Here is a 27,405-nt window from a genome sequence, read left to right on the forward strand (position 1 = left end):
GAATGTGTGAGAGTTGTCTTGTGTCAGGTGGCAATTAGCTAAATATAGAGTCAGGGAGCTGGGAGGGACTTGCTGAGGTCATCTGTGCCCTCCTGCCAGCCTTCCCCATCTGAATGTCTCCAGCCCTGTGCTCAGCAGCTCAGTAGTCACCAGCCACATAAGGCTTCTAAGCTCTTCAGCTGTGGCTGATCCAAGTTGAGATGTACTGTCCATGATAAAAAATACATTGGCATTTTAAGACTTTTAAAAGATTTTTAAGACTTAATTCAAAAAAAGGAAAAATGGCTCATTAATGATAATGGATAATGAAGTGATAATTTGATTATTTAAATAAAATATATCATTAAAATGTACATTACCTGTTTATTCTGTCTCTTCTTTAATATGGCTACTAGAAAGTTTAGAATACCATATATGGCTTATATTTTATTACTGTTGGACAGTGCTCCTCAAGATCGTCTCACTCTGTTACTGAATAACATTCAGACCCCAGGGCAGAGATTCTAAAGCCTTCCTTGGTGATTCTGAGTCTTTCATTATTCTGGCAATTCTGTTCTTCTCCACGTCCTATCTTAATCTCTCCTGCTTCGGTTTGGAGACTTCTACAAGTAGTTGACTCTTTGGCATCTCCTTATGAAATCCCACTTGAAGTGAGTCAAGCATCTCTTCATATTGTTGTAAGCACAGTAAACCCATTTTCTTTTCACCTTTTGACTTTCTACCTCCTTGATCATTTTTAGTGACTTCTCTTGGGTCATCTCTGGTTTCTCTATATTTTGTTTTTTAAAACTTGGCATCCCAAACCACCCACATTGCTCTAACATGATTCCAGCTATGCAGAGACAAGCTGAAGGAATTACCTCCATCATCAAGTACTTGACCAGCCCTTTTGCTACTTTACGTTATTTAATCCCACAGCACATGGAGGGGCAGATGCTATTTGGGGCTCAGAGAAGGTATTTGGGGCTCAGAGAAGTTAAGTAACTTACCAAGGTTCTACCACAAATTAAATGGCATGTCTGGGATTTGTGTCCAGCTTTGCCTGACTCCAAAGCTCATGCTCTTTCATTATATACCATGCCTCTTTTTTTGCTGGTATTTTTCTTGAAATATTCTTTCCCATAGTCTTGAGAAGCATTGCAGCACAGGCTGATGCATTTGTAGCTTATGGTCAACAGTGATAACTGGGCTTGTTTTGTTATGTTTGCACCTAGCTGGAATTGCTAAGCCCTTCTGCTAAATTCCAGAAACCCCTTCCAACCTTCTAGATATGGCATAAAAACCAGCAGGACTGTCCAGCCCTAGCCCTTGTAGGGTCATCAGTGGGCCAGTGTTGAGATCTCCAGGTGTCAGGAATGACTTCCCTGAAAATGAGCTTTCTTTCCTCTGGCCCAGAGCCTGTGAATAACTGTCAATCCCAAGACAGGCTATTTCTCAAAGGCTAATCAGTGAGAGGGGATGGAAAGGATCCTTCTGAGTGTGTTAAAAACAGATCTTCCCAGAGCTTGAAACTTGAGGACATTATGCTCAGTGAAGTAAGGCAGTCACAAAAGGACAAACACTGTATGATTCTACTTCTCTGTGGTACCTAGAGTAGTTAGAGTTTCAGTTTGAGAAGATGAAAGGGTTCTAGAGATGGATGGTAGTGATAGTTGCACACCACTGTGAAACGGTGAATTTTTTTTTTTTTTTTTTTTTTGAGACCAGGTCTCCTCTGTCACCCAAGCCCCAGGGTACAGTGGTGCAATCACAGCTCACTGCAGCCTCGACCTCTGAAGCTCAAGCAATCCTCCCACCTCAGCGTCTGGAGTAGCTGGATCTACAGGCATATACCATCACACATGGCTATTTCTTTTTTAATTATCTGTAGAGATGAGGTCTCATTATGTTGCCTAAGTTGGTCTCTAACTCCTGGGCTCAAGCCATCCTCCTGGCTCAGCCTCCCAAAGTGCTGGGATTATAGGCATAAGCCACCACCCCCAGCCTGTGAATGTTCCTAATGCCACTGAACATCCACTTAAATATGATTAAAATGATCAATGTTATGTGTATTTTACCACAATAAAAACAAGCTGATCTCTACATAAAGCAAAACAGCAATTAGAGGTGTCTCAGGAGCCAAGTCTTCGGTCCATTGCATATTCTAGCTTTGAGCCCATAGTCACTCTGAGTTAGCTTCTCATGAGAAAGGTGCAGTCTTACTGCACAGAGATGAGGGGAGCTCTTTTTTTCCCTGACAAATTTCTCCATCTAGGAAGTTTTTCCAATTTCACACAAATGCCTTTACCAGGATTTAAATCACTTTCAACAGATGTCTGGGGGAGGTGAAGCAGCCTCACCCCCAGGACTCTGGAATGGGACCTTTGTTCATACTCACTTTTCTATGGAGAGCTTCTTAGTCTTAGCCCCCTGTCTATCAGGGGGTAGGCTAGACCTTTCTCAGAAAGAAAACAGAGCTGCACATTGTATTTGATTGTACCAAAGTAGTTGTAGCTTTTTTGGAAACACGAATGAGAATTTGATTGAGTACTCAATATCTAAGAATGTTTGATCTGTGTTTCATTGGAGCCTCTGGCCCTTGAAAACCTGGGGTCAGTTAACCAATCTGATTCACAGGCTCTTTTGAGAAAATATAGCCAGACTATGTAGATTGGGACCCTAATCCATAAAAATTCTCTTTAGAGTATCTGTTTAGAGTCACTGTGGGTGTATTTGCTTATTTGCCGTGTATATTTCCCTTTTCAGGAATCATTAACCAATGGCAACAGGAATCCAAGGATAAAGTGATTTCCCTCCTGTTAACTCATCTGCCTTTGCTGAAGCCAGGAAACCTCGACGCGAAAGTAGAATATATGAAACTGCTGCCCAAAATCCTGGCTCACTCTATTGAACACAACCAGCACATTGAGGAGAGCAGGCAGCTGCTGTCCTATGCTTTGATACATCCAGCCACTTCGTTAGAAGACCGTAGTGCTTTAGCCATGTGGCTGAATCACTTGGAGGACCGCACGTCGACCAGCTTTGGTGGCCAGAACCGAGGCCGCTCAGACTCTGTGGATTATGGACAGACACACTACTATCACCAAAGACAGAACTCTGATGACAAGCTCAATGGGTGGCAGAACTCTCGGGATTCTGGGATTTGCATCAATGCCTCCAACTGGCAGGACAAAAGCATGGGGTGTGAGAATGGCCATGTGCCCCTCTACTCCTCCTCATCTGTCCCCACCACAATCAATACGATTGGAACCAGCACAAGTACAAGTAAGTTCCCCGGAATCCCTTTAACGTAGTCTGGTTTGGCGATTTGCTGTGTATGTGGCATGTCCTGCTGACAGTGTCTGCTCCATGCACCCTGTGACCCTGGGAGAGAAGGACTGATTGGAATTGGCTGTGGGAAAGGTCCTTTGGACCCCATATTTGTTGCTCTTTGACTCTGCAAAGATGAAAATACTTGGGAAGGTAAAAGTGACTGATGGTCCAAATTTGGGTTATAAACAGACCAAAAATAAATAGACAATAAATGAAAGAAGGAAACTTGCCGTTTCCACAATCAGAAATGCATTTCACCCATGTCTTTCACCCTGGGGTTTTGGATTTGCTGAGACACTGAGTTACTGTGTGATTCTCTAAACCTAATTCTAACCCATGGTTAACCAGGCAGCCTCATGGGCTTTGTGCTTTCTCTTTATTTTTTTTTTCCTCTTTCTTTCTCTTTATTTATTTATTTTTTCTTAAATTTCACCCTGGAATGTTTCCTCCCTTTGCATTTTCTGGTTTTAATCCCCAATTGTTGGGGCACTTTTTTCCTGACCAGTGGGAGCAGGTTTGCTAACTGAGAATGCTGCTGTGTGCTGTGGCCTGGTGAGAATGCCATGGACTTCTCTCGCTCAGTCCAACACCTTAGGAGAGGTGGGTCAGGAACTGCTTTGTGCGTGGGGAGAGCGGAGGACAGCCCTCTGCTCTTTTGACCACTAAAGCAAAGTATTGCACCCTCAGCTGGGCACTGGGGCTGGGAGTCCTCTCTGTGTCTCCCCACTGAGGCTGAGCAAAGTGACAAACACACCATTGGTGTCTGTATAAAGTAGCGGTGTGGAAGTGCACCCTGTCTTCAAACAGCGTTCCTTAATGCTAGTTTGCACCTGTCCATGAATGCAGTGGCAGTGCCAAGATAACTTTCTTGAAGGAATGCTTTTGCAATTAGACCTCGTGTGCCTGTCTTCATGCAGGAACCCCCAGTTAAAAGATATGAGAGGATTAATAATTGGGGTGCCGGCACAGAGACTCAGGCCTGTGATCCCACCACTTTGGGAGGCCTAGGCGGGCAGATCACTTGAGGTCAGGAATTCAAGACCAGCCTGGCCAACATGGTGAAACTCTATCTCTACCAAAAAATACAAAAATTAGCCGGACATGGTGGTGTATGCCTGTAATCCCAGCTACTCGGGAGGCTGAGGTTAAGGAATCACTTGAACCCAAGAGGCAGAGGTTGCAGTGAGATGAGATTGTGCCATTGCACTTCAGCCTGGGCAATAGCATGAGTCTCAGAAGAGAAAAAAAAAAGAAAAAGAATTGGCAGTGATGCCTTCTTGGCATCTGTTCCTACTTGGATCTTTGGTTACCAGGACTCTTTAAATGGCTTTCTCAAATAGGTAGGATTGTTGAGTTACAGCTACATGAACTGAAACAGTACCTCAGTGGAATAACCAAGCAAACACTGAAGATACTGCATTGATATTGCTACAACATGGGATTTTTTTAAATTCTTTTTTCTGCTTTTCCATTTAGATATGGTTAACTTGCACATTATGGGAATTAGGTGATTACTGCATCTTAATTTATTATATAAGAGGTTCTGATGACACTGTCTTTCACAGACTATAATCCAGCAGGAACAGTTTACTCGTCTCTGTATGATAAGGAGTGATGACATGCAGGCAGATGACAGTCTCTTGGTCTAAGTTTCCTGCATCAGCAACAGAATCTAGTAATTGTTACAAAACTCTTGAATAGCTGGGAGAGATGCAAACTCTAAGCTGCCTGCCCTCTTAAAACTTGGTCTTTTGTATTTTAAACAGTTGAGTTTTATGTCATTTGTCTCAAAATTAGTCTTGGGTCATTATATATTTCTATCTACTGATTTATACATTCAGGATCAGGTCTTGACATTTAGTACATTTAAGATGGTTATCAGGTTGTAGTCATCAAGCACCTATTTCTGGCTGTGGCCACCCAGCCAGACCCATAGAGGGTAGAAAATTTGTAGATGACTGTCATGGCCTTACTGACCTCTGAACCCCTATGTAATACTTGAGTGAAAAGGACTTGGAGGCTTAACCAGATGACTAGCTGACATACCTCTGGAAGAAGGCAGGCATCGGAGCCCTCTTCCAGAGCATCAGAGAAGATCAAAGAGCTCAGATCTCCCCTCCAGAAAGTTTCATTCAAACACTCATGACCATATCAACACTTATATGTCAATAATATCTCTTTAAGAAAATGCGAATGTCATTGCTGTACTCCTCTGTGTTGCCTATGGTGGTTCAATTGTGTGAGTCAAAACTCCAAGCCTTTGGGTCACTTGTTCACTCATGCCTCTATCAATAAACCCTGAGCACCTGGGAGGCAGCCTGACAGAGGGAAGAACAAGGACTTTGGCATCAACGCCTCCTAGGTCCAAATCCCAGACAGGCAATTTGCTAACTACAGCTTGGCCAAGTAATTTAACCTCTCTGATCAAGGTGCCCACTTGTAAAACTGGAACATTCACAATATCTACCTTTGAGGGCTGTAGTGAAGGTAAATAAGATTATGTAAATGCCCAGCCTGGTTGCAGCAGCAACAGTAAGCACTCCAGGGGTACCTGTTAGATGAATAAATGAAAGAAACTGGGAAAGACGGTGAGGAGCTAAGTGTTAACACTGATATGCAGAGTCTTTGCCCTCATTTTCAGTTCTGATGGGCGCCTGACATAAGCACCTTACCCTGAGCCCAGAGCCATGCGCAGTATTCTAAGGGGCCTTGAATATGCTGTGATTTTTGGCCATTCCACTGCAATAGAAATTGGGTTGGACTTAAGGCTTCTTCTACTGCACTGAAGAGCTACACTTCTTACCTCTTTCAAAGTGGAAAAACAATCTGCGTAAGACAATATGATGTTAAAAACAAATCAATTAGTACTACACATTTTCAAATTATCAGCCACGTTAATGATGTTGAATAAAAGGTAACCAGAAGGCCAGCCACCTCCTTAGTTTTTGTTTTTGTTTTTGTTTTTGTTTTTAACCTTGGTTTATTCCACTGCTATTTTATTGCTCAGTCATTGTGCCTTCAACAGAATGCCTTAGCATTCGTGGCTTCCTCCCTGTATGGATTCCCAATCATTCAACTACCCCGCAAATGCTTCCTGTCCATCTTCTGTGTGCCTAGCACTGCGTGTAAGTCCATGGGAAATACCAGGAAGCTGAAGACCCTGTTAACACTTCCAGGGAGCCTGTAATTGGAGAGATATGATATATGAATCAGTATCACAATTAAAAATTAAATATTCCTTTTTGCTGGACTTATCATCCATAGAAATTTCATATAACAATTCATGAGTTATATAAAAGTGCAGTAAAATAATACTCTAAGAGCTGCCACAAGGCATATAGGATGAAGTGCCAGTTGAATGTAGGCCTATCCTGTAAGTGCTGTGAATGTACAGAATGGAGAGATCCTTGTGAACTGGAGGGTCAAGAAAGCCTTTGGGCCAGGTACAGTGGCTCATGCCTGTAATCCCAACACTTTGGGAGGCCAACGTGGGAGGATTGCTTGAGGCCAGAAATTCAAGAACAGTCTGAACAACATAGCTAGACCCCATCTCTTCAAAAAAAGAAAAAAAATTAGTCTGATGAGGTGGCTGAAGTGAGCTGTGATCGTGTCACTGCACTCCAGCCTGGGTGACAGAGCAAGACTTAGTCTCAAAAAAAAAAAAAAAAGAAGAAGAAGAAGAAAGAAAAAAAAGACCGGGCATTGGTGGCTCACACCTGTAATCCCAGCACTTTGGGAGGCCAAGGTGGGCAGATCACTTGAGGTCAGGAGTTCAAGACCAGCCTGGCCAACATGGTGAAACCCTATCTCTACTAAACATACAAAAACTAGCTGGGCATGGTGGTGCATGCCTGTAATCCCAGCTACGCAGAAGGTTGAGGCAGGAGAATTGCTTGAACCTGGGAGACAGAGGTTGTAGTGAGCCGAGGTGGTGCCACTGTACTCCAGCCTGGGTGACAGAGCAAGACTCTGTCTCAAAAAAAAAAAAGAAAGAAAGAAAGAAAAAAACCAGGAAAGAAAAAGCAAGCTTTTGCAGGGGAAATGGAAAGTGAGCTAAGATGGAAAGAGGAAGGAGAGTCTGGAGGGGAGGGGGCCCCTGGGTAGGAATACGCACTGAGAGCAAAGGGACGGGGGTCACAGTGTGCAGGCAAGATGGAGGACAGTGAAGAGGAAGAACAGGCTCATGAAGGGAGAGGTAGTGAAGGCAGGTGGTAAAAGTAGGCTGAGGGAACTGCCCCGAAGAGGCCAAGCATTGACACCCTAGGCATAGGAGTGACATGCTGTATTGGGGAAATGGATTATGAGCAAACCAGATGAGTGGCATCTGACAAGTGCAGAGTCAGCAAGTTTCAAAGTTTTGAAGTAATAAAAGTATCATTAGGATAGGAGCACGTATGGAGCAGAAGGAATGGATACTAGAAATGTTCCTAGGTGGAATTATTAGGATTGGGATTCAGTATTGATATGGACATACTTTTTTTTTTTTTTTTTTTGAGACAGGCTCTTGCTATGTTGCCCAGGCTGGAGTACAGTAGTGTGATCATGGCTCACAGCAGCATCAACCTCCTGGACTCAAGCAATCCTCCCACCTCAGCCTCTTGAGTATCTGGGACCACAGGCATGCACCACCACACCCAGATAATTTTTGTATTTTTTGTGGAGACAGGGTCTCCCTGTGTTGCCCAGGCTGGTCTCAAACTCCTGGGCTCAAATAATCCTCCTGCGTAAGCCTCCCAAAGTGCTGGGATTATAGATATGAGCCACCACACCCAGCCTGACATACATTATTGATTTACTCATTTTTTCATTCACCTAGAAAATGTTTATTGAGTGCCTACTGTTGTGTCTTCCCTGCTCAAGGCACTTGAGATGTATCAGTGGATAAGACAAAGCTGCCTTCCCTTGGGGCACTGGCAGTCTAGTGTGTACAAATTGTAGTATATAAATAAAGTATATGTGTGGTAGAAGATGATAGGTGATGTGGAAATAAGAACAAGGGTAGGATCAGGCCTATGTAATGAGGTGACTAGACCATGAAACAGGGTGGTCAGGGTAGACCCCTTTGAGAAAGTGGGGTGTGAGCAGAGAGTTGAAGGAGTGGAAGTTAGCCAAGTGGGCATCTGGAGCAAAGAGTATTCCAAGCAGAGATAAAGCTGGAGCAAAGATCCCAAGACAAAACAGTGCCTGACTTGCTAGGGGGAAAAACAGGAAGGCAGACTTGCTAGGGGAAAAAGCAAGAAGGCTGGTGTCTGAAAGGGATTGAACGAGGTAGACAGTGGTCGGAGAGGCTGGAGACAGAATGGGCATTGTAGGTCATTGCAAGGACTTGGACTTTTGCTGTCAATAAACCAGAAAGCTATTGGAGGATTTCCAACAGAAAAGTGACATGATCCAACTCACATTTTAAAAGGTTCTCTTTGGCTGCTGTCTTAAGAATAGATAGGGCAAGGACAGAAACAGGAAAACCAGTTAAGAGTCTGTTGCAGTAATCAGGCAAGAGAAGATGGCTCAAACCAGGATGGCTACAGTAGAAGGGTGAGAAGAAGTCAGGCTCTAGATATATTTTGAAAATAGAACCAACAGGATTTCCTGACAGAATAAATGAAGGGTTTGAAGGAGAGGATTGAAGGAGGACTCCAGTGCTTTTTGCCTAGGCAACTGGGTGTTGCTATCAGTTGAGACAGGGAAAGTCTTTATCAGGTAGAGTAGGATTTGGAGTAAGCTCGGGAGTTCAGTGTCATATACGATGAGTTTGGCATGTCTGTTGGAGATACTGAGTAGGTAGTGGGATATATGAGTGTGCAGTTTGGGAGAGAGAAGTGGTCTAAAATAGACATTTGGGAGTTAGCAGCACATGGGTGGTATTTAATGCTAGGACTAAATGAAATTGCCAGAGACTGGCAGAGAGAAAAGGCAGAGACTGTAGATAAAGAAGGCCAAGGCCCCCAGGCCTGGGCACCTCAACCTGAAAGCTGGAGAAAAGCAGGGGAAGTAGTAAAAGAAACTAAGGAGAAACCCTTGAGGTTGGAGAAAACTCAAGTGTGTGTGCCTTACAAAGCACATGAAGAAAATGTTTCCAGGAGAGAAGAGTGATCAACTGAGTAAAATGTTACAGATAGGTTAATGAGATGAAGACCAAGGATTGACCACTGGATTTATCAAAGAGGGATAACAGAGGTAAAACTGAGAGCACTTAGCACATGGTAGGTAATTAAGGGATGAAAAAAGTTAATGACTCCAAAGAGATTGGAGGTAAGAGGGAGACAAACTGGCCACATGCTAGATTTTGGATGTATGTTTATGTTGAGATGTTGGAGCACTGAGATGGAGAAAAGTGATGTTTAGAAGGCATTAAAAATAGGTGATAGAGGCCGGATGCAGTGGCTCACTGTAATCCCAGCACTTTGGGAGACCCAGGCAGGCAGATCGCATAAGCTCAGGAGTTCCAGACCAGCCTGGGCAACGTGGTGAAACCACATCTCTATAAAAAATACAAAAATTAGCCGGGTGTGGTGGTGTGTGTCTATAGTCCCATCTACTCAGGAAGCTGAGGAGGGAGGATCACTTGAGCCTGGGAGGTAGAGGTTGCAGTGACCCGAGATCACACCACTGCACTTCAGTCTGGGTGACAGAATAAGCCTCTGTCTCAAAAACAAACAAACAAACAAACAAAAAACAGAAGAAAAGAAAAAAATAGGTGCTATAGTTACACAGAGTTTTGAAGGACAGGATTAGAATAAGGATGAGTAGGAGCCAAAACCTAAGTCCTAATCTAATGAGAATCTACGTATTTTCATTCATCGAGAGGCAAGAGTATCTTTTATTGGTTGCAGAGGTTAAGTCAAGTGACATCTCAAGGACCTTTTCTACCATGAGATAAGGGAAGAGTGGGTTGGGATAGGTTGAAAAATCTGTTATGCAGCCTTTTGGATGACATCAGAGCACTTCAAAAGAAAGAGAAGAATGTATTTTTTTAGCACCTTGTTCTAGTAAGGCCACTCAAGGGTATGCTGACTAAGAACAAGAATGTGTGTGTTCTTCACCACGAGCCTGTAGGACCAGACAGGATCAAGGTATTGGCTGTGACAAACCTTACACAAGGCTTGGTCAACTTTGTTTCACCCATCAAGAGCAATTAATTCCAAATATAGGCAGATAGAACCCGGATTAGCATCTCTAGGTTTGCTTCCTGTCTAAGGTCTGTTATAGAAGAAAAGTAAACCATTCAGGCAAAGAATAAGTATTTCCTGGCTTTCTTAAGAGCCTACAGAATTCCCCTGTGTGGTTGTCAGTGCTACCTCAGTTGCCCCAAACTGCCTTTCTGACCCTTGTCTGTTCTTCCCTGGTGGACCTGGACCTGGAAGAAATCTCTGTGCTACAGCTACAAATGAAACTTGTTTTTATTCAAATAATTGCAACACTTGACTTTTCTTTGCATTATTGACATTTGGATTTGAAAGCATGCTGGCCTTTGTTAGCCCAACATGAGGTAAGAACTCAGAAACTTTGGATACCTAAATTATGCCAAAATGCTCCATTTAATCTGTCCACTTCTACAGATTCATGGCACATTGTGGAATCTTAGTATTTATTTTATTAATCTTGATTTTTTTCTGATGATAAAAATGATGTGTTTGGTACCATAGAAGATAAAAAGTAAATTAACAATGATAGCACACACCTACATAGTGTTTACTATATATTGGGTACTGTTTAAAACCCTTTACATAAATATTAACTCATTGAATCCTCATAACCTCATGATGGTGGGTATTATTGTTATCCCCATTTAACAGCTAAGGGAACTGGAGCACAGAAAGGTTAGGTAATGTGACCAACATCACAGACCTACTAAGTAGTTCAGCTGGGATGTGAACCTAGGCAGTGAGGCCCCTGGAAATCGATGTTATTACTTGCCTCTCCCTCCTAATCCTATCCTCAGAATTTGAATGAGTAGCTAGTAGACTCTTGCTTTTCTCTGACCCTGGATTTGGCCCCATACAGACCCTCCAGCTTCCGTGGTCTCCACAGCCCACAGGTATGAGACCCTGCCTGAATTGCCCCATCTCTGTGACTCTCTGAAGCAGGGAGCAGTCTTTGCACCGATCCACACAACTCGGTGTCAGCTCTTAGCATTTTGTGTCAGTTTTTGGTCGCCATGTTCACCTATCCTTCCCGACTGTGAGCTCCTTGGGGATAGGGGTTGTATCTTCTTTATCCGTATTTCCCAGCACCTGGGATAATGTGTGGCTCAAAAAGTCACAGAAATTTTGGAAATGTCAAATTCCTGGCACAGATTCAGCTGCAGTGGCAGAGCACCTTGTTGGACGATGGCCGTCTCTTGCTAAGCCCAGATGTGGCCTCTGAATCATCCTCAATATGCCCCTCTAGGCAACCACTATAATTCAATAAGAGATGGCATGTGAGCTGAAGCTTGTCTGCCCACCCTGCCATAAATGTTTGCTGAACAGTAGGGACTTAATAAATTCCTGAGCTCACTAGGCACATGTTCATGAAAATAATGAATTTCCAAAATAAACAAGAAAATGTCCCTAGGAATTCACTAAATATTTGGTGATAATATTGATCATTTAGCCTTCTGTCATAATCACCTTAGTGACATTTATTGTTACTCTTGCTCCTTTTTGACTTATTTGACCAAATCAGTTTCAATACTAACAGACTTTTAAAAACATACCTTGATTATAGAGATAGTTACATGAATTTATACATGTGATGAACTGCCATAGTTACAAATGTATACCCAAAAAAACTAGTGATCGTAAAAACAGCTGAGATCTGAATAAGGCCTGTAGTCTAGTTAGTTGTATTGCATTAATGTCAAGCTTCTGATTTTGATAATGCACTATTGATACGTAAGATGTCACCTTGGGGGAAGCTGGGTGATGGGTACATGAGACGTCTCTGGGTAGTATTTCTGCAATTTCTTGTAAATCTATAATTACGTCAAAATTAAAAGTTAAAAAACAAAAATTACTTGGGATATTCAGTGCCTGGATTTTGGAGGGGTTCGGGGGAGGACATTGGTTTGGTCCTTGTTCTTGGTCTTCCTGAGGGGTAGAGGAAGTCCTTGCATTTATGGAAAGGATGGCTGCTAGGCCTCATAGAGCCAACATCTGAAACTAAACAACTTCTGCAAGCAAAGTGGAGGACGAGTAGGAGTGAATCTCAGGGAAAGTGGCTCCCTTAGGAGCCCCTGATCTGCTACGGGAAAAAAACCTCCATTTCTCTCAGCCCCTAATGCGGCAAGAGTCAGCGATTTCAAAGGTACTTGTTTTGCTCATGAAGTCCTTCCTCTTCCTTTTGCCCTTCACCTTTTTTCACAAGGCCACAAACCGCTTCAAGTGCATTTCAGTCAGCCTGTGAGAACCATCAGAACACAGATATTCAAGAGAGGGAGAGACACCAGGCAGCTCAGCTCTAGATGGGTCTGGCAAGGAAAGAGGCCTTTGCAAATGGCCTCTTGGAACCTAAAAAGGAAGGGTGAAGCCTGGGGACCCTGATTCTATCTTGCAGGCTGCAGGTCATCCCCACCCAAAGCCTTTGGAGCCACTGTTGTAGTCTGGAGTTCCTTTGAAATCTTTCATGGAATTATTTTGCCTTTTACCAGCAGACTTTCTTTCTCGGTGGAAAATTTCTTCCTCCCAAAAATCTAGCCAACCTGGCATGTAACTGAAAAATTCCATTATTTCCTTAACCCCTCATTTGCTCTTCAAAGAGGTAACTAATGAAAGAGTTGGTTTGCTTTCTTTGAGAAGCATTTATAACAGCTGGCATGGTATATTTTTAGCTTTAGCTTCCTTCCCCTTTGGGGGAAACTTTTTTTAGTATGGCACTGGCCTTCCTAATACATACTACATTGTAAACATGACTCAGTGATATCTCAGAGGACTCGATGTTGCCACCGGCTGATCCTTCTCCTGTTTCCAAGAGTCCAGGGTTTTTACCGGACTGTGTTTTTCCTCATCATGCCTAGTGTCTGTTTTCCAAGGCTTGGGGAGGAATGATCAGAAAAATGCTGTAGTGGGCGAGAAGCCTGCTAGTTGATCATGTGTTGGAGATCCCTCTGCCTGGAAAAAGCCAGAGACCTCCATGGGCTGCATGCACCTTGGGTCATGAGGCTGTGCTCTCCATCCCCCATCCAGGAAGATTTTTTTAGACTTCAGTGACAGTGAGGGTTATTAAACACTAGATGAGCTACAGAGGAAGACAGTTGTGTTCTCATTCCCCACCAGACTTTAAAAATAGGATGGATTCTGGCTGGAATAAATGGCTTAAGTTGGACTAGCCTGGAAGAGGGGAGGAGGAAAGGGGAGATGAACAGGATGGCTTCTGTAAGACCCTTTTTGAGCCCTGTAGTCTTATGATTTCTGTTATTTCACAAGATTTAGAGTCATAGACTAACTATAGCTGTTCTACAAACAGACAGGAAAACTTTTAAATTTGCATTTACTGATTTTTTTTTCTTTTAAGATTTCCCGAGTAAACTCAGGCTACACTAAAGAAAGATGTCTCATGACTGTAGCTTACACATATCTTTGATATCTTTAATTTCAAAAAATTAAACCTTTGAATTTCACGGTCTTAGGTACCGAGGTGAGGGTAAATGTTAGTGCCATCAACTATTGTCAATCTAGGGTATATTTTCTAACTGTTAAACACTAAATCTCATTCCGGCCATCTCCCATCCCCACCCCAGCTCTCAACATTCTATTAGGTAAAATACATTCTCAGGAAATCTCAGGTATCAGTCAGTTAAGAGCAGGGTGTGGAGATGAGGAAGCCAGGTGAGCAGGGGGCTCCAAAATCTGGAAAATGCTATAAAGGATTTTTGTGGGTTGGAGGAAGGCTAAAACTCCCAACATACTCCAGGGTAGTCATTCCTTGCTAAAACTTTGGACCATTTCCACAGACAAATTCCATGGCTAGAGCTAGACAGTGAAGCCAATGGGAGCACAGGGTTTGCTTTAGAGATTTGTTTCACAGCCAGCCTTTCTGAGATGCATCCTTTTGGAAAAGCCCAGCAAAACCCATATGGAGCTAAAAGATTTATAATGGATTACTTTATGCTTTAGTCTTCTGCTTTGCACAGTAAGACATTGCTATATAAAGGGAATTAATTATAAGGCTGTGAATAGTGTTTGAGAGATTCAAGTTGGTACATAAACAATGAGGCAGTCTTGATTAAGAACAACTTTGAAGTCAGACAAGTTGGTTTTAAAGTCCAGTTTTTCCAATAACTAGAGGTATAGTTATGGACAAGTTACTTGACCTCTAAGCCTCCTTTCCTCATCTATAAAATGAGAATAAATTTCAGTAGAAGGCTTCTTCATTGACTTGATCCAGATAGGTAGTTGATGCATTCATTGTACTAGCTGTTTAAAGAAGGGAATCATAACAAATAAGACTTTAAATGTATAATTTTATCTTAAAACATAAATATCTATATCCATTTTCAGCCTTTCGTATAGCATGATAGCCTTTTCTCTAAGAAGAGGGTACCTGACAGGTTGCTCTATGTCTTTCCTGCATAAATCATACCCTTAATACGTTACTGTCTTTGATTTCTTTAAAATGGAGCAGGAATTTAAAGGCATTTGCAAAAACATCAGAGCATAGACTCTCTAGATTCTAGTTTTTCTTTTTACAATTTAGCTTATAGTTTTCTCACTCACACTGAATTCAACAGTAGATTTTTAAGCAAAAATAATGAATATTTCTAAAGCATTTAAGTTTTTTTGCAGTTAACTTTATAACTTGTGTGTCATTGTTTCTGTGATGTGTTTTAAAATTACATATTTACAGTAAGTACAACTGGCATAAACAGGCTTGGGAACAACCTGTTTGACCCTTGGTACACCTACAAGTCAGCTGGTGGGAGCAGAAGGGCACAAGTAAATTACAGTGCTAGGGGAGTCAGTAAGCCATGAGCATCAGTAAGTAGTTTAAAGGGAATGGAGAGTAGTGGTTGGTCCAGAAAGTTGGTTAAGTGAAGATGAGTTAAGAGAGCATTTAAGGGTGGTTGTGAGGATTAAATGAGAAATGTGTGTAAAGCACTTGCCAGTAGGATAGCCCTTATTGTTGTCGTTATTACTGCTGGTAATAGTAAGGGTGCTTCTTCCACAAGCCCAGCCTCTGCAGTAAACTATGATGGAATAGGATCTCTGGGGAAGCCCTATGACAAAGCTATCCCATTATGCTAAATTGAAATCAAGATACTTTGAATCAGTTCTACAAAGAGCCAGCCTTCCACAAATACCATTATTCCCTTAAGGATTGTTCTAGTGATATATATTACTAAATACTTTAAAGTGGACCAGATTTTAAAATAATAAAGAGTAAGGTAAAATTGTGTTGATGTTGCTTCTTTGGGATCCATTATGAATAGGAATAGTTTTTTAAATTAGTAATAATTATAAGAATATTATTCACACTTTTAAAAATTATCCTTAAGTAACAGAATAGGATTTAATAGGAACAAATGAGGCTCTGTACACACATTCAGGCCAGGGAAGTGTGACCAGTCCCAAGAGGGCAGAGTATTTGAAAGAAAAAAAAAATTGCCATAGTGAATTCACTTCCAACTCAGAGTGTGATCTTAAACTCACGGGGATTCTCACTTCTTTATGAAAGTTTGGGGTTGGATGACCCCTAAGGCTCCTTCTTAGCACTTTTATTCTTTGCTTCCAAAGTAGAATCTTCAACTCAGAGAGTGCTGCTGATGAGTCGATAGTACTCATTTTGGGCTGGGTGGGGGAGGAGAGTGAAATGTCTAGGAGAAGTGGGATGTGACAAAGCCAGGAAGAGAGCCTCCTGCTGTATTCAGCATTAACTACATACTACGTGAAAAATCTAATACGGTTTTGGTCCCCCTAATTTTAAAAAAGAATGTGAAAAAATCAGTAACTGCTACCTGGAGTGTGAAGGGAAGTCTGGTGGACAGGGTGGGGGAATTATTTATCATCCTGCTCTTTGAAGTAAGCACCATATTAATGTCATGTATTACCTATTAAAAATATATAAAATGAGAAATACATGAGGATATTAGTGAAGAAAGAGGGGAAAAAGAAGATAGCCTAAAATAAAAAGCAAAATGATTCAGCCTGGAATAATAATGCTAAATAAGGGGTGATCTGATAATTTAGAAACGTATTAGAGTTTATTAATAGGAAACACAGTATCATGAGTTCCTTAGTCTCTGCCATATAGAAAGAAAAGAAAATTGGCAAAAATAATACTGGTTTAAGGTCATGGTGATGATGAAACTTCAGGAGCATGCTACAGTTATAAATGTGGATTCTAAAGAAAAAAAAATCAGAGGATCACCAAGTTCTGTTGCTTGGCACCTGAATCACAGGCCACTTGAAAGCCATTCTTGCTTGATGATTGTGGTTTCATCAAGACAGATTCTTTTGGAAGAAAAGTGGACTATTCGAAGGCTCTTTGTTTTAAGAGATCTGATAAATATTTAGCATGTTACTGGTCTTATTCAAGTACCAATAAGTCAAATATTTTCACAGTGGAAGCAGGGACACTCAGCTTTTGCCCTGTCTCAAAAACTACCCATTTTCGGTTAAAAAACAAACAACTTTTGCTATACCCAAGTCAAAACAAAGTCAGACATGTATTCCTCAGCTCCAGGTTCTTGAGAGGCCTCGATCGATAGGTAGAGCACCCAACACTGTCCTACAGAGCCTAGAAATTAAACTTTCTCAGAAGACAAGGGCTGACGAGAGGGTACATAGTATTAAGAAATTGAATATACTCTCTGTATCTCTTGTTAGTACCCAGGTGAAACATAGGAGACAAAACACATATTACAGAGGTGTCTCATTTTACACAGTGGGTATATTTCCAAAAAGTTGTTGAAGCAACCTTTTTTTAAATCAAATTATTTTCCCATTGAGTAAAACTATGATTCAGGATATGAATTTTCTTAGTTGCTCGTTAGTCTTCATTTGCCGGAACTCTTAAATGGGGGTAAGGTCCTCAGTTCCTGAGGGTCTCTAACAAAGTGAATATAAAGTATTGAAAACAAATACTGAAAAGATTTCTGTAGATGATTTTTTTGGCAATGTGTCTAACAGTCTTCTCTGATTGTATGTTGGGATTATTTAAGTATTAAGTATTCATGTTTTTTTCTTCTTCTCTGATTGTATGTTTGGATTATTTAAGTGGCTTGTGTTGTTTTTAACAAGTCACATTTATATGAAGTTGCGGGGCAGGGCAGGTGGCAGCTACAATGCCCCTCTCAGTGGTGCTTCTAAATGCAGAGGATGTAGGCTTCCCAGATACATCAGGAGTTAGAGAACTTGCTGAGGAGAGACATTGACATGATGATTTGGCCAGAATATTGCCCTGGGTCTGCATCCAATGCATGTGTTGGGAGAATGCTCAAGACTGCAGCATGCTTGCAAAGTTGGGAGAATTTGGGTGTAGTCATGAGGCCTTAGGGAGCTACATTGTGAGAAAGGGTGTTGTTCACATATGTTCATCATTATTCAAGAAATTATTTTGGCAATGGCCCACACCTGTCATCCCAACATTTTGGGAGGCCGAGCGGGGAGGATTGCCTGAGTGCAGGAGTTCAAGACCAGCCTGGGCAACATAGCTAGACCCCTATCTCTACAAAAAAATAAAAAATTAGCCAGGTGTGATGGCTTACACCTGTGGTCCCAGCTCCTTGGGAGGCTGAGGCAGAAGGATCGCTTGAGCCCAGGAATTTGAGCTGCAGTGAGCTATGATTGCACCACTGCACTCCAGCCTGGACTACAGAGCAAGACCCTGTCTCAAAAAAAAAAAAAAAAGAAAGAAATTTTTTTCATGCCTATGATGTTGTTATTCATTCTGCTAGATTTAGCAGCATAATGTTAATACCCCAACACAATGTTACATCCAAGTATTAATCTAAAAGTCCATAATGACATCTCTGGGTAAAAATGACCACATTTATAGATTTGTTTACTTTTGGCAATGTAGCTCTAAATTCACCTGGAATCTCAAAATATTGTGGCTAAAGTTCAAAGTCTGAGAGTCCTTGATGCCCAAGAGTGTCTCTACTTTGGGTATGAGACTGACAACGTGATTGAGGCTAGGCAGTCCCTGAAAGTGGATCTGAACTACAGATCCTAAATTCAAGGTAAGCATCTTTGCAGACCTCGCTGTTGTTCAGGAATGAGTATTGTCAATACTCAGAAAAAGGAGATGTCTTGCAAGCAAATATGTTGCTTGAAGGTTTTTTTTTTTTTTTTTGCTCAATCTATGAGATTTGTGAAAGAGAATTTAAAGCTGTGTATGGTCACAGTTCTTTCCCAATTTTCTGTTGGTGATTCTCTCTTTTTCTTGCTAGAGACAGCTGCATAATTTTTATTTGCTTCTAGAGCTATTCTCTTGCTCCTCTTCCCCCAGCCACTCAATCTATATGCAATTCAGAGACCAGGCTAATTATGGGGTGCTAGAGAAGCAGTTGCCCAGAGAAAAGCTCTTTAAGCACTCAACTGGGATAGAGCTGGGGTCACACTCGTGACCATCTCTCCATTCACGTCTGCATGTCTGCGTGTGAGCTGCCTTCCACTCTTTTGCAGTTGCATAAACAAACTTTTTAGAAAGGTCAACACAAGGAATGAATGCTTTTTCTTAAAGAACAGAGCAAGGAAAGATTTCATGTTTACTTCTTGAGGCTTCACTACTGGAAGAATAGCCACAAAGTGGCCAAGAAAGAAAGGATATGTTCCTCTCCTTAACCAGGGCTTTGTGTTTTTGGCTGCCCCAGCAATGGCTTAGGAGCAAGAAGCTTTATACACTCAAGAGCTGTACTCTCAAAATAGTGTGACTCTTAGTAAAAGGCCTGCTGAAACTCTTTGACCCAGATTGCTTTTGCCTGCAGGCTAGTTTTTTTGGGTTTTTTGTTGTTGTTGTTGTTGTTGTTTTTTCTAACTCCACTACATCATATTGGGTAAATGGTTTACTTCCAGAGATGTTAACCCTGTGAGACCATTCTGCCACCCTAAATGACACAGACTGAGAGAAACGAAGCATGTCCTGGAGAGTTCCCTTAAGAATCCTGACTTTGGGCCAGGCACAGTAGCTTACGCCTGTAATCCCAGCACTTTGGGAGGCCAAGGCAGGCAGATCACCTGAGTTCAGGGGTTTGAGACCAGCCTGGCCAACATGGTGAAACCCCATCTGTACTAAAACTACAAAAATCAGCTGGGCGTGTGGCGGGCACCTGTAATCCCAGCTACTTGGAAGGCTGAAGCAGGAGAATCGCTTGAACCCAGGAGGCAGAGGTTGCAGTAAGCTGAGATCATACCATTGCACTCTAGCCTGGGTGACAGAGCGAAACTCCATCTCAAAAAAAAAAAAAGAAAAAAAAGAATCCTGACTTTGGGAAAGAAGGGTTCAAAGGAACGCCTTTCCCCATTCCCCTTCCTTCTTGTAGAACAGCCAGCTTAGACTCAGCCTTTTGGAATCCTCCAGACTGACAAGGATTTGAATGGGGCTTTGGCTGGGCTATCAGAACTCTAGAGGAAAGGCAACCTGCTTGACACCCAGATTTATCTTCAACTTAAAGAACCCCACTGCCAAGTCTACACAATTGTGTAGACCCCACTGCCAAGTCTAAAATGGGTCCATGACGGTCATGAGGGTCCCATTGGGAATCACAGCCCTAAGCCCGTGACAGAGTAGACTTGAAGGCTTCCTTTGGTGCTGGAGAAGTTTGCTTTTCTTCAAGTCCTATCATTCAAAGTTGAGTCTGACTTTCCCAAATTGTTCCAGCTCTGATCCACAACTCCCAAATCTAGCAATGGAGGCGGCCTGGTTTCTAGGATTGAAGGGAGAATTAGGACAAATGACCCCTTATTTCTCAACATTCCCTTCTTTGTGACACACTGTTTCATTCCAGAACATGTGTTCATGGCACAGATCTGGCAGGGTTGCTAGTATACTGAATGGCAGAATCAAAGTCCAGAACGGTCTTGGGCAATATCAAGCTGTGGTTCAGAGCACACATGGTGGCGTGAGACTGACCTGGGTTTGAGTCCCAGTTCCACTGATTACTACCTGTGTGACCTTGGAGAAATAGCTTAACCTCTCTTGGCCTTGATTTCATCAACTTAAAAAGGAGTACTAAGTGCCACCCATAAGCGGTTGTGAAAGTCCTCTCTGGGTTTACATACAGTCTTTTTCTTGAAGACATCCTTCTATTCTCCTACTCCCATCTGTGTTAGTTACCCTCAGTCTAGCTTTCCTAGTCTAAAATATTTGCTTCTGCAGCTCTAGAAAATTTTCTTGAATTTTCAAAATAATTTCCTCTCATTAATTTTCTTCCTCGCTCTTTAAAGAATTTCAGATTAGATAATAGCTCCTCTCTATTGATCTTCTAATCTCCTTAATGTTTCTTCTCCTATTTTGTTTTACTTTTAATCTTTCTGTTCTACTCACCAGGTGATTCATATAACTTGATCTTTCAAACATACTATGTAATTTTAGATCTCTGCTATCATATTTTCAAATTCCGAGAGTTCTTTTTTGTCTTTTTAAGGTTCCTTTTTGTATTGCATTCTGTTCTTGTTTCATAGCTGCCAAATCTTTTCTAATGTCTCTGAAGATATCACATTTGATTTTTGGAGTTCTCTTCTGCTCCCAATATTGCCTGTGTTTCTTGGAGTTTTTTCTCTTCTGTTTGTGTTGGACTCTGTCTCAAATAAGAAGCATTCCTCAGTTATCTGTTGATTCTTACTTTCCTTTTATTTAAGAGGAAGGGACCTAGAACCTTATGTGTGTAGATTTCACCACAGAGAGATCAGATAGGAACCTAACCTGGCTGTTTTTGTGGGACTCACATATATCACCATCTGCAATTCTTTTCTCATGGACTAGCCCATTACCATTAAAGAAACCCATTACCAGCCTCCTCCTGAGGGATATAAGCCTTACTGCGAGGGTCCTAGGGCCTGTTAGGAGTAAGGTGCTAAGATGACAGTTGCCTTGCTGAGCAGGGTAGAAGGGAGAATCTGAGGATCTCTCTGTACCTTAAACATAAATTCTAACAAACCTATTTTTTTTTCTGCACGTGAAACCCAATGCAAAAACAGGTTGTCTATGAATGGCTTAGCACCAGGTTCCCCAAACCACCAATTTCCAGCCCCTCCCTGCACCCCTGCCTTCAGAGGTACCTGCTCTCCAAGTCCTGAGCTTCATGGAAGTTCTACCACATAAATTGCCATGTTTTCCCTTGCTATGGGCACACACACCACCTTTCTCAGGTCTTCTGAGCCAGTTCCCTCATGTCCTTCTGTCTTCCAGCTTACAACAGTTTGTTGACTTCAAGTGGTCTGCTGATAACCTTTTCATTTCCTGTCATCTTCTCTCCTGCATTCTTTGTCCTCGTGAGTTTGTGCCTTTGCTGTCATTTTTGTGAGTTTTCAGAAGGAACAGAGATAACATTCGCATAAATTGGCAGTCTATTTTAATTGTCTACTTGTTTATTATCTATCTCCCCCACTAGAATATAAATTCTAAGAGGTCAGGAACCTGGTCTTGTTCACCATAGCATTCCATTGTCTAAAACTCTGGCTGGCATATTGTAGATGTTCAATAAATGCTTGTTGAATGAATAAATGAGTGAATGTGCACATCAATGAATGGCATGTATTTAGATCTCTTTGTGTAGTCCCTACGCCCCAATAAATAGTAACTATCTTATCCACAATTATTTCAATTTTGAGGGTTAGATAATGAAACCAAACTTTATGCTACTTAGAGCCATTGATTTTAAGTGGGGATAAATCTGTCTCTCTTAAATAGAAATCTTTAATGGGGAGTGTCTGAAATGCTTTTACCTCTCAAGAGCTTCCTCTTCAAGCTCTTACTTTTCTTGATAGTAATCTTCCCACCATAACTCTCATTATCAATAGGATGTTGCCTATTTCTAATAGTTAAAATGAGGGCTGCATTTGGAAGGTAAGGGGCTGCCTGAAGATCACGTTGCCACATGGAAGAAGACTAGAACTAGAGCTCAGTTCTTCTCATTGGCAATGGTACCTTTAGCCTGTCACTTTCCTTCTCTCGGTTTCCATTGTCTTATCCAGAAACTAGGCTGGAGAGAATGGAAAGATTAATTAAATGATCCCTGAAGTTTTTTTGAGGCTCTAAAATAAGAGATTCTGCTGTTCTGCTTAGTTCTAAAGTGCCAGCAAATAATAAATAACTATCTCTAGGGCCTAGGTCTTAGAAATAGTGACATCCTTGTGAAAATGCCCAGTCTTTTTAAATGACAAATTGGACACTGTATTATAGCATTTTGTAGATAAATGATGGCTTCTAGCAGTCTACATATAAATATCCCATTTGTAAACCTCTGCATAAATATATTTTCATAATAAAAATCACAGAAATAAATACAACCTAAACTGATTAAAAAGATTAAGTATTAATGGTGAAATAAGTCTTTCATGGCGACTTCAGCTTTGGCTGAAGAAGATGTTGCTTTTTCCAGTCCATAAACAATACTTCACATCAATGGTGGCAGTCCCTCTGACCAGTTAGGCAAAAATGAGAAGGTCCCATAATATGTCTCAGGTGGTGGACAGCTAATATGAGAAGGATAGGTATTCAGAGTGCCCAGACCTGGAAAATCCCAGCCCAGAGTGAAGATGTGACAGCTTTGGTTCTGGAACAACCCCACTGGCATACAGTTGTTTATTTGATGTCCTACTTCCTGCTGTGTTTATGCTGTTCAAGCTGTTGTACAAATCTATAGGCCTCAACATTTGGGTCCTGCAATGCATAGCTCTGGTGTTAAATGAGGAATTATCTACTTTAGATCACAGACTTTATTTTTTTACCCTTCTTTGTCAAAAAGATACTGATACGAAAACTAATGACCATTGATATGCTGTGACGGATGAAGACCAAAAACATTAGGGTTCTAAGTCTTAGCGTCAACATCAACTTTGTTAAGTGACCTTGGGCAATTGCCAGATCTCTCTAGGTCTTTGATTCCTTAACTGATAAAATAGCAAGGGGAGTGGATTAGATGATATTCATCTAATCATGTATTTAATGTTTCTTCCTGTTTTAAAGTTCTGGGATTTTGAGTTAACTCGGGGGTAAATACATGAGGGAGACAAATTGCAGTGTTACCTATACCTTCCAGTCTTCTGAAAGTAATGTTCTTGGAGGAAGAGATCAAGAAATGTAGCACCATCATTTAAATTCCCTCAGGACGAACTCTATTGGACACATAAACAATAGCAACAACTTCTACTTTCAATAAAATGTCGGCATTGCTCTCTGCCAATTACCTTGACAGCCTGACTCAAGAATGAAAAGCTCTATACCAACCCCATCTGGTACCTTGTGAGTCAGTGTTCATTTCTGGGAGAACCATTCTTGAAGCACAGCTTTTCGTTCAGAGAGACATTATGGTTATCTTATATTTTTAAATAGAAAAAAAAAAAACCCATCTAGGTGTTTCTCTTAGGTCTGCTGCTCCTCCAGCATTTAATTTGAATTTGAAAGATTCTGGTTTGATTTTTTGTGTAGATGCTTGCCTACCCTGCCCTCAGAACACCCACAGAACAGCAGAACCGTAAGCTTTGTGCACCATTTGGGGAAAGCCCAAATGAAAAAGAGATGCTTTCCATGTGGTTGGGCAGGTGATTTCTAATTTAGTTATAGGGAATCTTTATGCTACTCAGAGCCATGAATTGTAAATGATTGCATGGAATAGCCAACTTGCAGACAGGGAAACAATATGTTTACCACAGAAGCAAGAATAGTTTTTTTGACTTTCATATAGATCCCCTGATACTGTCCCTCTAAAATGGAGGATTCAGAGAGGCATCTTGGTCCTGGTGCATTACCACCTCCTCAAAAACTTTCATTAGTCCTAGAAATACTGTGGCAAATTAATTGAAATTGAAATGACCTAAAATTTTTACATCCTTCAGCAATTCTTCACCTTCATGGAAAGTGTTACTTAGAATATTAACACTGCCTTGCGGCTTCTAGCTTCTGCGTGTTTCTGAATGATAGAAGGTGATGGCTTAATAAATGATAGAAAATACTGTTTGCATCTGTGCAGCCTTGTTTTTTATGAATGCTCTTTTTGGCATCAGTATCCCTAGCGACTAATACAGTACCTATGCAGAGAGATGCTCACTGTTCATTACATGAGTGAATAAATGAGGTTAGCTTAACTCTCTGGGAAGTTAACAATTAGCATTTTTTCATTTCATAAAGCATCTTCCCATACATCATTTTAGTTGGCCTTCATTGTCATCCTTCCTAGTGCTTAGCATATGCCCAACACCAGGCAGATGCTCAGCAAATATTGGATGGATGGATGGATGGAAGGAAGGAAGGAAGGAAGGAAGGAAGGAAGGAAGGAAGGAATAATGCAGGACGCATCTATTCATAGGACCCCCACAGCAACCCCGGTAGGTAGGTGGAATAAGGTATTACCATTATTGTAACTATTTTCCAGATGAGCATACTGAGGCCCTGAAAAGCTAGTGGACTTGTTCAGGATTTTGAATATCGATTGTTCAGAGTCAGGGTCAGTAGCTAAGCCCAGAGTTCTTTCTGCCATGAGAAGCAACACGGTGTCAGGCTAAGAACACAGGCTTGCAAGTGAGAGAACCTTGGATTTTGAACTCTGGCTCTTTCCACTGCTCAGCTGTCTGAGCTTTGACAAGTCAGCTATCCTCTGCACCTCAGCTTGCTATCTGTGAAATGGGGGTGGGAAGAGGGTAATGGTAGAATCTGCTTCAGAGAGCATTAAATGAGGATTAAATGGAACAACATGTTTACACATTTAGCCAAGAAGCCGACACATAGTCGGCACTGTCAAATGGTAGCTGATGATATTGTGTGCACTCTCCTGCGGCCTCTTTGGAGGCCAAAGGACTGGGAACAGTGGGCCTCACAGGTGGGTCTTTGGGTTGCATTTGGGAAAACAGCAGTACAATATCCCCAGCTCAGGGCAGGTAAGGAGGAAACAGCAAAAACAGAGTTCATTCATTCAGTTACCCTTCCATGAGATCCTAAATATGCAGGAAAAACCAGACATTAGGAGACCTGGGAACAGGGAAGAACGGTATAATTTGGTGCATTCCTTTCTCCAGAATCCAGCCCTTGTGAACAGCTGGCTTCTTTACCCTGACACCCTAACTGGCTGTTCTACTGGTATCATAAGGCAGACTTTAAAATATGGAGAAATAACGTGGGGACAATAATATCTCATCCAAATGAGCTGGGGTGTGAGAGAGAACCGCACTGCATAAATAGGCTAACAGCATCACAGGCAATTGGCTCTAGGAGGGGCTGAGAGACCATCCACTGGGCTGTAATGTCTTTTTCAACATTGTGACCTCAAGCTTTTAGGGCATGTCACATGGTGGGCACTCCACAAATATCCGATGAATGAATGAATTCATCTGCTCCAACCTCTTGCTTTGCATATGAGGAACCCAATGTTACCCAGACACGTAATAGGTTCTCAGCCTGAATTTCTTAAAATAATGGAGGTACTTAGAATCTTTAATAAGGATTTCAGTCAATCTGTATTGCTTACAAATGTCAGGACAAAGACAAGCTCTCATGAAGAGTTCTGGGCACTGAAATTTAGTGGAAAAGGAGGTGATTCACATCTCCTGACCCTCCATAAAATACACATGAAATGTGGACACTTAAAATGTGTGAGAGGAAAGGAAAAACCAAGTTGAATCTGAATCAAAGAAAAAAGATTCTTACCAGGAAAAGCAGAAGTTTGTCAGTATAGGTGAAGATTTTGAAAGAGCAAGGTGAAGTTTCTCTTCAGTATGACAGACCATGATGGAAAATTTACCTCTTGTAAATCTGTGAAACACTATCAAGTAATCAAGATATATTTTTCATGCCACATGTAATAGGCTGAAAATGCTGCATGAATGTCATTAGATTAGCTAGTACTTTTGAGATGATTTTTCCATTAGCAGTGTTGGTTTATACCAAGTTATTCTTACTCTAACAGCTAACAACTAATATTTCTAGAGCACTTTACAATATGCAAAACATTTTAATGTGCATTAAATGATTAGATTTTTTCCAATAATCACATAACGTAGCCTTTGTTATCTACTAATGGGGAAAACTTTAGGTACGGAAGTACAGAAGGGCCACATGACTTCCAACTCAAATCCCAAATTCTTCTCCCTTCAGCAGTCCGTTTTTGTTTTGGTTGATGCCTACCCCAACGTCAACAGAACAAGTATCAGCCAGCAAGAGCTGCGTATGTAGTTAGAGCATCTTAACCTTGAATGTACATACAAATCTCCTAGGGTCTTGTTAAAATGCAGTTCCTGGTTCAGGAGGTCTGGGGTGAAGCCCAAGAGTCAACCCTTCTAACAAGATCCCAGTTGATGCCAATGCTACCTGTCCATGGATCTAGAATGCAATTTTTTACCATTTGTGAGTTGGTTATGCTCTCACCAGCTGAATTTCCAGACTAAAAGAAAATGTGCCTGGAGCTTTCTGCAGCTGATTCACATTCAAATGGGGCCTGAGGCTGACCCCTGACCCTCTCTTTCCTACTTACAAGGGTGAAAATGACCACAACAAGAGGCAAGCACTATTGCCCAGGAGTCAAAATATTTTTCTGGGGAGTCTTTAGGAATTCCTGCCCAGGTATCATTTGGATTGGAACCCTGGTTCAAAATATCATTTACTTTATCTAGAGAGCAGTGCAAGAGTGATCAACCCTGAGCTAAAGAACCTGAACAGAATTTTGCATGGGAATCCAAAGCAAATAAGATAATCATTGATGGGAAAAGTGAGGGTATGAATTTTGTCTTTTAAAAGCCCCATGAAAACAAAACAAGATGCTCATTCTTTTGAGGCATCTTATTAAGACCAGCAGAAGCAACAGCCAATCTAGGGAGGTTTGGACTGTCCAAGATGTGGGACAAAGTTTGGGGGAAAGTACTGAGGCAGGAAGGCAGCCCAGTGCAGTGGTTCTTGACCCTGGCTATCGATTAAAGCCACCAAGGTGCATCTAAAAGTACAAATGCTCTGACCCTGCTGCAG

General features: G+C 41.5%; 1 protein-coding gene across 16 annotated transcripts in view, besides 1 other annotated feature; it reads left to right on the forward strand.

The window, feature by feature from the left end:
- The window catches only part of SAMD4A (sterile alpha motif domain containing 4A), a 228,000-nt gene that overhangs the window by 134,001 nt on the left and 66,594 nt on the right, over positions 1 to 27,405 (forward strand). For all 16 annotated transcript variants that reach the window (XM_047431137.1, XM_047431136.1, XM_024449516.2 and 13 more), the window contains one exon: positions 2,746 to 3,264. In XM_047431137.1, coding sequence (XP_047287093.1) covers positions 2,746 to 3,264 — 519 coding nt within the window. The remainder of the gene's footprint in view (positions 1 to 2,745; positions 3,265 to 27,405) is intronic.
- Positions 10,272 to 10,321: a silencer, noted in NCBI's record as "silent region_5773". NCBI's record gives its function as "represses an Ori minimal core promoter by ATAC-STARR-seq in GM12878 lymphoblastoid cells {active_cell/tissue: GM12878}" and the evidence as "EXISTENCE:reporter gene assay evidence [ECO:0000049][PMID:35858748]".

Source organism: Homo sapiens, chromosome 14, assembly GCF_000001405.40.
Source record: "Homo sapiens chromosome 14, GRCh38.p14 Primary Assembly".
Taxonomy (NCBI): domain Eukaryota; kingdom Metazoa; phylum Chordata; class Mammalia; order Primates; family Hominidae; genus Homo; species Homo sapiens.